Genomic DNA, 11,287 nt, shown 5'->3' on the forward strand with positions numbered 1-11,287 from the left:
CTTTACCTGATCAAGGTGAGGTTGTGTTCCTGGCACATGCTGAAGTTTTTTCTGCAAACTAAAAACAACTGATTAGAAATTCAGAGATGAATACACTTCTGATTTAACTTTATACGTTATTTAGTGACACAAGGATAATGAAGTGACTTTCCATAACTGACTATTCTAATATTCTGTAATTGCAATTTTACAAGTTGTTCGCAAATTCCAATAGAGAAAAGCTGGCAGATTAAGTTTTTTAAAAATTTCTTTAAAAAAAACCACACATTCATATATATACATATGCACAGAATAAAGAGAAAAACTAGTCTTTTAGCAACACTATTTTGTATGGTTAAATATGTCAGTAAATTTCTTTACCATTCCAACAGGTTTAATACAAACTTAAATATATATAACCATTCTAGTATTGCTCAGAGTTCCTTAACTTTCTCCTGCTTCCTAATATGAAAATAATGCTGGCACCTAAAGAAAGTTGCAAGGATAAATTTTCCTTTATCAATGTTTTCCCTTGAACTTATTAAAAAAGAAATAGTATCCATAAATATAAATTTGCTATATAGTCAGTTACCAATTGAGAGAAAAAGAAAGTCAGAATGTTAAAAATGCATTGTTCTGATATGAAAAGCACAAGAAGATCAACATGGCATAACAAATTACAACCATAATAACTGTAGCATACATTTCAACACTGATGGGGACAGGACGGGAGGGGGAAAGGACTGAAAACCTTGCAGATGCTTTGCCTTGAAAACAGTGAGGGGTAAATTAGTAACAGCAAGTTTAGGAAAGAGAAAGAACTTGTAGGAACTATTGGAGGGAATGAGTCTCTTTGGGGGGTCCTAGTAGGGAGAATGTCAAATTAAATCCTTCCCAGCTGGTTGCTCAGGAAAAGATTCTCCTGTTTAGCAGTTAAGCACACACAAAAAAGTCATGCAACGGCCTTCCCTATAGTGGTGAGATCACATTAAATAGCTACTTCAAGTGTCACTAAAGCATTATAACTGCTCTTAAGTGTATGTAGAATGAGATTACTTTAGAAAAACATTTCGAAAAATCATATGCTTTTCCCATATGTTCAGTATTTAATGTTGTTGGACAATGACTGCCTAGAACTTCATACGCAGCAAAAAAAAAAAAAAATCTAACAACGAACATTTAAGTTTAGTTCCCACAAGTCTCAGAATTTCATGCCCTCGATTTTTTCCCTATCATACACATTTTTAAAAGACTAATCTAGTGGATAAGGATATGCTATCAAAACCTGAAACTCATGAATCGGAAATCATCTTGCACATTAACTTGTAATCTTATAACAATTTTTGTCTCTGCACACATAAAATGTAAATTCTGCACGCATAAAATGTAAAAAATCTCAAACAGTTTAGTGTTTTGTATATTTAAATCATTATGTTCTATAACAAACAATAATTTAGGTATTGTCAGTAAGATGGAATTAGCAACATTTCTATTTCTCCCAAGTAAAAATATAGAATGATATAAAGAACTGGATGCCTTGATGAAAGTACCTGTATTACAGCAAATTATAGCAAAAGACAGAAGTAGAAAGGAAAAACAAAAATTGATATACTGAATATAGAGGTGGGAAATGATTGCATACTATAATTCTTATTAGTGAAATAAAGCACTAAAGGATACAACATGTAAAGGGAAAAAATAAAATTTCAACTAAAAAATATTCTAGTGTTTAACATATTAAATGACAACCAACTTGTAAGCTCTTGGACCCAACAGAGATAAATTAGTTTAAGAAAGGCAAATTTTGCTGGGTTCAGTGGCTCAGGCTTATAATCCCAGCACTTTAAGAGGCCAAGTAGGAGAATCACTTGAGGCCAGGAGTTCAAGACGAGCCTGAGCAACGTAGCGAGAGCCTGTCACTACAAAAAAGTAAAAATAAAAAATTAGCCAGGCATGGGTGCAAGCCTGTAGTCCCAGCTACTCAGGAGGCTGAGATGGGAGGATCACTTGAGTCCAGGAGTTCACGACTGCAGAGAGCCATGATAGCCACTGCATTCCAGCCCAGGTGTCAGAGTGAGACTCTGTCTCAATAAAATAAAATAATTAAATAAATATGAAAAAAAGAAAAGGCCAAGTGTGGTGGCTCACGCCTATAATCCCATTACTTTGGGAGGCTGAGGTGGGCAGATCACTTAAGCCCAGGAGTTTAAGATCAGCTTCGGCAACATGGCAAAACCTCATCTTCTACCAAAATAAAAAATTAGCCAGGCATGGTAGTGCGTGCCTATAGTCCCAGCTACTCATGAGTCTGAGGTGGGAAGACGGCTTAAGCCCAGGACACAGAGGCTATAGGGAGCTGACATCGCACCACTGCACTCTAGCCTGGGCAATAGACCCAGACCCTGTCTCCAAGGGGAAAAAAAAAAAAAAAGAAAGGCAAATTTCATGCAGCATTGTTTCATTTGTTCCCCTTGTAAACACATTTAAATGTATCACAGGATCTGTAACTATCAAAACTGCCCACAGCATCAAATTAAAAATACAGTTCTAATCCAGACACGGCGGATGAAAGGGATCATGGCTAACTAGTGAAACAGCACTGATAGTCAAATGAAGAGCTGGAACCTTGAAGTAAAAAGAAGAAAAGGATCATCGAGAGAAAAGTTAGGATGGGCTAGACTTCTGGTTATTTCAGAAATGGGTAGCAAAAGACAAAGGCTCTTAACCTCCCAGAATTAGGTGACAACCTCAGCCAATCTATCTCCCTAGTAAAGCCAGAACTAAGATGGGAAAAAAAGACCATTTTTAAATGAACAAACCAAATTTATGCTTAGGGCTGTATTCGCTTAATGGAGGAACAGTCATTTCAAAATTAGTAAAACAAAAGCTTTATATGAAAAAACATAGTATAATTCTGAATGATTTTCATACAATCATTATCAAGCATAAGTGATACTGGATACCTGAAGCTGACATGAGGGAAAAAGCCTCAGGGAGATTTCACAACTTTGTACAGCAGTGGCTTGAAAGGATATAACTATATTTACCATAAAACAAGAAGTAGTCATTTTTACCTTACACAATTTATAAGAATTTTTAGAAAAATAGAAATAACTCACATGTAATTCAGGTATACCAAACTTTCCTGTCTTCCTACTAAATGGAACTAGAAAAGCAAAATGCTGATTTTTTCCAGGTACTCCAAAAATACCTTTATAATTTTAACCGTAATTTGTTTAGTCTAAAAAGGTACTGCTCCAATACCAGAAGCTACAGGTGAAAAACATATCTCTCAACTGAAGACAACTTCTTGAATAACTGTGTCACTGACAAGTTTACTCTCTGAGCTTCAGTTTCCAAACTGAGAAGGAGGAATAACTGCCCTGCCTGTCCCACACTTCTGGCTGCTGAAATAATCTCAATCAATTTCTTTTTTCTTTCTTTCTTTTTTTTTTTACAAACTACATGCAAATTTAATTTTTCCAATTCATAAAGTAAAAGGGGTCCAATAAAACACTATCATGTCCTACCTCACAGGTTACTGTAGGTATTGTTTTCAAAATGTGAACAATACTACAGACTGAAGGTGGAAAAAAAAAAACTAGTTGAAAGTAGAATCAGTTTTTAAGGGCATGGCTAAGGCAAAATTAGAAATATATATATAAGGCTGGGTGTGGTGGGCTACACATGTAATCCCAGCACTTTGGGAGGCTGAGGCATGAGGATCACTTGAGCCCAGGAGTTTGAGACCAGCCTAGGCAACATAGCAAGACACCATGCTTACAGAAAATTAAAAAAAAAAATTAGTCAGGCATGGTGACACATGCCTGTGGTCCCAGCTTCTTGGGAGGCTGAGATGGGAGGATCACTTGAGCCCAGGAGGTTGAGGCTGCAGTAAGCCATGTTTGTGCCACTGCACTCCAGCCTGAGTGACAGAGAACCCCATCTCAAAAAAATAAATAAAAAGAAAAGAAATATATATAGGAATGGGAATTAGAACTCTCAAATGTAGAGCCACCCACTATGCCTACCCTTAAGCAAAATTGTCCCACCAATTCAAAATACCCAGAGACATGTCCATTTTCATGATCTTCTATGGACATATACGAGACTTACGAGATATTCACTGCAGCATTATTTGCAATAGCCAAGCTGTGAGAACAAGTTAAATGTCCACTAACAGAAAAAGGGATAAAGTAAATGTGGTATATGTAGAAAATGGAATATTATTCAGACTTAAAAAGGAAACCTTGCCATATGCAAAAACATGGATGAACCTTGATGACTTTACGCTACGTGAAATAAACCAGTCACAGAAAGACAAATAATGCATGATTCCACTTGCGTCAGGTAATTAAAATAGTCAACCCCATAGAAAGAGTGTAGAATGGTGGATGCCAGGGGCTATGAAGACAGGGAAATGGGAAGCTGCTATTCAAGGGGTATAAAGCTTCAGTTATAAAGAGTGAAACATTCCAGAGATCTGCTGCACATCCTCATGCCTATAGTTAGCAATACTGTATTGTACACTTAAAAAATTGTTAAGAGGGTAGATCTCATGTTAGATGTTCTTACTACAATAAAAAAAAGAAAAAGATACTGATGCACAAGAATAACTAATCTTTCTTCCCTCCCTTACCAAAAAGATTCCCCACAGGAGAAGGCAGAAAACTAATCCATTATTAAAGTGAACAGAGGAGAGAGGAGCCAAGATGGCCAAATAGGAACAGCTCCGGTCTACAGCTCCCAGCGTGAGAGACGCAGAAGACAGGCGATTTCTCCATTTCCATCTGAGGTACCGGGTTCATCTCACTAGGGAGTGCCAGACAGTGGGCGCAGGTCAGTGGGTGCGTGCACCATCCGCGAGCCGAAGCAGGGCGAGGCATTGCCTCACTTGGGAAGCGCAGGGGGTCAGGGAGTTCCCTTTCCTAGTCAAAGAAAGGGGTGACAGACGGCACCTGGAAGATCGGGTCACTCCCACCCCAATACTGCGCTTTTCCGATGGGCTTAAAAAACGGCGCACCACGAGATTATATCCCGCACCTGGCTCGGAGGGTCCCACGCCCACAGAGTCTCGCTGATTGCTAGCACAGCAGTCTGAGATCAAACTGCAAGGCGGCAGCGAGGCTCGGGGAGGGGCGCTGGCCATTGCCCAGGCTTGATTAGGTAAACAAAGCAGCCGGGAAGCTCGAACTGGGTGGAGCCCACCACAGCTCAAGGAAGCCTGCCTGCCTCTGTAGGCTCCACCTCTGGGGGCAGGGCACAGACACACAAAAAGACAGCAGTAACCTCTGCAGACTTAAGTGTCCCTGTCTGACAGCTTTGAAGAGAGCAGTGGTTCTCCCAGCACGCAGCTGGAGATCTGAGAACGGGCAGACTGCCTCCTCAAGTGGGTCCCTGACCCCTGACCCCCGAGCAGCCTAACTGGGAGGCACCCCCTAGCAGAGGCAGGCTGACACCTCACACGGCCGGGTACTCCAACAGACCTGCAGCTGAAGGTCGTGTCTGTTAGAAGGAAAACTAACAAACAGAAAGGACATCCACACCAAAAACCCATCTGTACATCACCATCATCAAAGACCAAAAGTAGATAAAAACCACAAAGATGGGGAAAAAACAGAGCAGAAAAACTGGAAACTCTAAAAAGCAGAGCGCCTCTCCTCCTCCAAAGGAACGCAGCGCCTCTCCTCCTCCAAAGGAACGCAGCTCCTCACCAGCAACGGAACAAAGCTGGAGGGAGAATGACTTTGACGAGCTGAGAGAAGAAGGCTTCAGACGATCAAACTACTCCGAGCTATGGGAGGACATTCAAACCAAAGGCAAAGAAGTTGAAAACTTTGAAAAAAATTTAGAAGAATGTATAACTAGAATAACCAATACAGAGAAGTGCTTAAAGGAGCTGATGGAGCTGAAAACCAAGGCTCGAGAACTACGTGAAGAATGCAGAAGCCTCAGGAGCCGATGCGATCAACTGGAAGAAAGGGTATCAGCGATGGAAGATGAAATGAATGAAATGAAGCAAGAAGGGAAGTTTAGAGAAAAAAGAATAAAAAGAAACAAACAAAGCCTCCAAGAAATATGGGACTATGTGAAAAGACCAAATCTACGTCTGATTGGTGTACCTGAAAGTGACAGGGAGAATGGAACCAAGTTGGAAAACACTCTGCAGGATATTATCCAGGAGAACTTCCCCAATCTAGCAAGGCAGGCCAACATTCAGATTCAGGAAATACAGAGAATGCCACAAAGATACTCCTCGAGAAGAGCAACTCCAAGACACATAATTGTCAGATTCACCAAAGTTGAAATGAAGGAAAAAATGTTAAGGGCAGCCAGAGAGAAAGCTCGGGTTACCCTCAAAGGGAAGCCCATCAGACTAACAGCGGATCTCTTGGCAGAAACTCTACAAGCCAGAAGAGAGTGGGGGCCAATATTCAACATTCTGAAAGAAAAGAATTTTCGACCCAGAATTTCATATCCAGCCAAACTAAGCTTCATAAGTGAAGGAGAAATAAAATACTTTACAGACAAGCAAATGCTGAGAGATTTTGTCACCACCAGGCCTGCCCTACAAGAGCTCCTGAAGGAAGCACTAAACGTGGAAAGGAACAACCGGTACCAGCCGCTGCAGAATCATGCCAAAATGTAAAGACCATCCAAGCTAGGAAGAAACTGCATCAACTAACCAGCAAAATAACCAGCTAACATCATAATGACAGGATCAAATTCACACATAACGATATTAACTTTAAATGTAAATGGACTAAATGCTCCAATTAAAAGACACAGACTGGCAAATTGGATAAAGAGTCAAGACCCATCAGTGTGCTGTATTCAGGAAACCCATCTCACGTGCAGAGACACACACAGGCTCAAAATAAAGGGATGGAGGAAAATCTACCAAGCAAATGGAAAACAAAACAAGGCAGGGGTTGCAATCCTAGTCTCTGATAAAACAGACTTTCAACCAACAAAGATCAAAAGAGACAAAGAAGGCCATTACATAATGGTAAAGGGATCAATTCAACAAGAAGAGCTAACTATCCTAAATATATATACACCCAATACAGGAGCACCCAGATTCATAAACCAAGTCCTGAGTGACCTACAAAGAGACTTAGACTCCCACACAATAATAATGGGAGACTTTAACACCCCACTGTCAACATTAGACAGATCAATGAGACAGAAAACCAACAAGCATACCCAGGAATTGAACTCAGCTCTGCACCAAGCAGACCTAATAGACATCTACAGAACTCTCCACCCCAAATCAACAGAATATACATTCTTTTCAGCACCACACCACACCTATTCCAAAATTGACCACATACTTGGAAGTAAAGCTCTCCTCAGCAAATGTAAAAGAACAGAAATTATAAGAAACTATCTCTCAGACCACAGTACAATCAAACTAGAACTCAGGATTAAGAATCTCACTCAAAACCGCTCAACTACATGGAAACTGAACAACCTGCTCCTGAATGACTACTGGGTACATAACGAAATGAAGGCAGAAATAAAGATGTTCTTTGAAACCAACGAGAACAAAGACACAACATACCAGAATCTCTGGGACGCATTCAAAGCAGTGTGTAGAGGGAAATTTATAGCACTAAATGCCCACAAGAGAAAGCAGGAAAGATCCAAAATTGACACCCTAACATCACAATTAAAAGAACTAGAAAAGCAAGAGCAAACACATTCAAAAGCTAGCAGAAGGCAAGAAATAACTAAAATCAGAGCAGAACTGAAGGAAATAGAGACACAAAAAACCCTTCAAAAAATTTAATGAATCCAGGAGCTGGTTTTTTGAAAGGATCAACAAAATTGATAGACCGCTAGCAAGACTAATAAAGAAAAAAAGAGAGAAGAATCAAATAGACGCAATAAAAAATGATAAAGGGGATATCACCACCGATCCCACAGAAATACAAACTACCATCAGAGAATACTACAAACACCTCTACGCAAATAAACTAGAAAATCTAGAAGAAATGGATAAATTCCTTGACACATACACCCTCCAAAGACTAAACCAGGAAGAAGTTGAATCTCTGAATAGACCAATAACAGGATCTGAAATTGTGTCAATAATCAATAGCTTACCAACCAAAAAGAGTCCAGGACCAGATAGATTCACAGCTGAATTCTACCAGAGGTACAAGGAGGAACTGGTACCATTCCTTCTGAAACTATTCCAATCAATAGAAAAAGAGGGAATACTCCCTAACTCATTTGATGAGGCCAGCATCATCCTGATACCAAAGCCAGGCAGAGACACAACCAAAAAAGAGAATTTTAGACCAATATCCTTGATGAACATTGATGTAAAAATCCTCAATAAAATACTGGCAAACCGAATCCAGCAGCACATCAAAAAGCTTATCCACCATGATCAAGTGGGCTTCATCCCTGGGATGCAAGGCTGGTTCAATATATGCAAATCAATACATGTAATCCAGCATATAAACAGAACCAAAGACAAAAACCACATGATTATCTCAATAGATGCAGAAAAGGCCTTTGACAAAATTCAACAACCCTTCATGCTAAAAACTCTCAATAAATTAGGTATTGATGGGACGTATTTCAAAATAATAAGAGCTATCTATGACAAACCCACAGCCAATATCATACTGAATGGGCAAAAACTGGAAGCATTCCCTTTGAAAATGGGCACAAGACAGGGATGCCCTCTCTCCCCACTCCTATTCAACATAGTGTTGGAAGTTCTGGCCAGGGCAATTAGGCAGGAGAAGGAAATAAAGGGTACTCAATTAGGAAAAGAGGAAGTCAAATTGTCCCTGTTTGCAGATGACATGATTGTATATCTAGAAAACCCCATCGTCTCAGCCCAAAATCTCCTTAAGCTGATAAGCAACTTCAGCAAAGTCTCAGGATACAAAATCAATGTACAAAAATCACAAGCATTCTTATACACCAACAACAGACAAACAGAGAGCCAAATCATGAGTGAACTCCCATTCACAATTGCTTCAAAGAGAATAAAATACCTAGGAATCCAACTTACAAGGGATGTGAAGGACCTCTTCAAGGAGAACTACAAACCACTGCTCAAGGAAATAAAAGAGGATACAAACAAATGGAAGAACATTCCATGCTCATGGGTAGGAAGAATCAATATCGTGAAAATGGCCATACTGCCCAAGGTAATTTACAGATTCAATGCCATCCCCATCAAGCTACCAATGACTTTCTTCACAGAATTGGAAAAAACTACTTTAAAGTTCGTATGGAACCAAAAAACAGCCCGCATCGCCAAGTCAATCCTAAGCCAAAAGAACAAAGCTGGAGGCATCACACTACCTGACTTCAAACTATACTACAAGGCTACAGTAACCAAAACAGCATGGTACTGGTACCAAAACAGAGATATAGATCCATGGAACAGAACAGAGCCCTCAGAAATAACGCCGCATATCTACAACTATCTGATCTTTGACAAACCTGAGAAAAACAAGCAGTGGGGAAAGGATTCCCTATTTAATAAATGGTGCTGGGAAAACTGGCTAGCCATATGTAGAAAGCTGAAACCAGATCCCTTCCTTACACCTTATACAAAAATCAATTCAACATGGATTAAAGACTTAAACGTTTGACCTAAAACCATAAAAACCCTAGAAGAAAACCTAGGCATTACCATTCAGGACATAGGCATGGGCAAGGACTTCATGTCTAAAACACCAAAAGCAATGGCAACAAAAGCCAAAATTGACAGATGGGATCTAATTAAACTAAACAGCTTCTGCACAGCAAAAGAAACTACCATCAGAGTGAACAGGCAACCTACAAAATGGGAGAAAATTTTTGCAACCTACTCATCTGACAAAGGGCTAATATCCAGAATCTACAATGAACTCAAACAAATTTACAAGAAAAAAACAAACAACCCCATCAAAAAGTGGGCGAAGGACATGAACAGACACTTCTCAAAAGAAGACATTTATGCAGCCAAAAGACACATGAAAAAATGCTCACCATCACTGGCCATCAGAGAAATGCAAATCAAAACCACAATGAGATACTATCTCACACCAGTTAGAATGGCAATCATTAAAAAGTCAGGAAACAACAGGTGCTGGAGAGGATGTGGAGAAATAGGAACACTTTTACACTGTTGGTGGGACTGTAAACTAGTTCAACCATTGTGGAAGTCAGTGTGGCGATTCCTCAGGGATCTAGAACTAGAAATACCATTTGACCCAGCCATCCCATTACTGGGTATATACCCTAAAGGACTATAAATCATGCTGCTATAAAGACACATGCACACGTATATTTATTGCGGCATTATTCACAATAGCAAAGACTTGGAACCAACCCAAATGTCCAACAATGATAGACTGGATTAAGAAAATGTGGCACATATACACCATGGAATACTATGCAGCCATAAAAAAGGATGAGTTCATGTCCTTTGTAGGGACATGGATGAAATTGCAAATCATCATTCTCAGTAAACTATCGCAAGAACAAAAAACCAAACACCGCATATTCTCACTCATAGGTGGGAATTGAACAATGAGAACACATGGACACAGGAAGGGGAACATCACATTCTGGGGACTGTTGTGGGGTGGGGGGAGGGGGGAGGGATAGCATTGGGAGATATAACTAATGCTAGATGACGAGTCAGTGGGTGCAGCGCACCAGCATGGCACATGTATACATATGTAACTAACCTGCACATTGTGCACCTGTACCCTAAAACTTAAAGTATAATAATAAATAAATAAATTTTAAAAAAAACTCAAGAAAAAATAAAAAATAAAAAAATAAAGTGAAGAGAGTTATTTGTGTGAAAACGCTAAGCTAAAATTTTCTATGTATTTCATGCATTTTCTCATAGAAAGAGTATTAGACATAGTGTTTGGTGTAGAAGTGTTAACGATTAGCCTCTAAAGTTAACTATCATTTACACTATAATTTCTACAGGAAAATGCAATATGATTTCCAAACAACCAATTAGTAAAACTTCCAAGAATATACCTCATTAAGAATGGTCTTGTATGCCAAAGGAATGGCAGGAAGCTTAAATCATGGATGCAATTGTGCACATCATTCCTGTTAACTATGGGGAAAAAAGGTACATAACAATAAAAGTAACCAAATTATACAAAACATACCTTATTCCAGAGAGACTATCAAAGGCATGAAGATCTAATACATTAGAGAGATCAACTCTAAAAGGAAGAAAACTAACGTGAGCAGTTGGAAATTCTGTGAAATACATCCAGTTAATCAAGAAAAAAAACTCTGACTTAAAAAATTTTATACATAAAAT

The 11,287-nt window shown here is 39.3% G+C and overlaps 1 protein-coding gene across 24 annotated transcripts in view, besides 1 other annotated feature; it reads right to left on the reverse strand.

The window, feature by feature from the left end:
- The window catches only part of ZNG1A (Zn regulated GTPase metalloprotein activator 1A), a 58,220-nt gene that overhangs the window by 14,136 nt on the left and 32,797 nt on the right, over positions 1–11,287 (reverse strand). For 15 of the 24 annotated variants that reach the window (NR_174360.1, NR_174356.1, NR_174357.1 and 12 more), the window contains 2 exons: positions 11,130–11,186; positions 7–58 (listed from right to left, as the gene is read on the reverse strand). Coding sequence is in view for 16 of the 24 variants with exons in the window: in NM_001399798.1 (NP_001386727.1) it covers positions 7–58; positions 11,130–11,186 (109 nt within the window). In the remaining 8 variants the exon portion in view is untranslated. Of the gene's footprint in view, positions 1–6; positions 59–10,992; positions 11,187–11,287 lie in introns of those variants that run through there. The other 9 variants (XM_005251515.2, NM_001145356.2, NM_001399799.1 and 6 more) reach the window with 4 other exon arrangements.
- Positions 4,327–4,940: an enhancer, noted in NCBI's record as "H3K27ac-H3K4me1 hESC enhancer chr9:139299-139912 (GRCh37/hg19 assembly coordinates)". NCBI's record gives its function as "activates a minimal SCP1, AML or CMV promoter by ChIP-STARR-seq in primed H9 embryonic stem cells {active_cell/tissue: H9 hESC(primed)}" and the evidence as "EXISTENCE:reporter gene assay evidence [ECO:0000049][PMID:30033119]".

This window comes from Homo sapiens, chromosome 9, assembly GCF_000001405.40.
Source record: "Homo sapiens chromosome 9, GRCh38.p14 Primary Assembly".
Taxonomy (NCBI): Eukaryota; Metazoa; Chordata; class Mammalia; order Primates; family Hominidae; genus Homo; species Homo sapiens.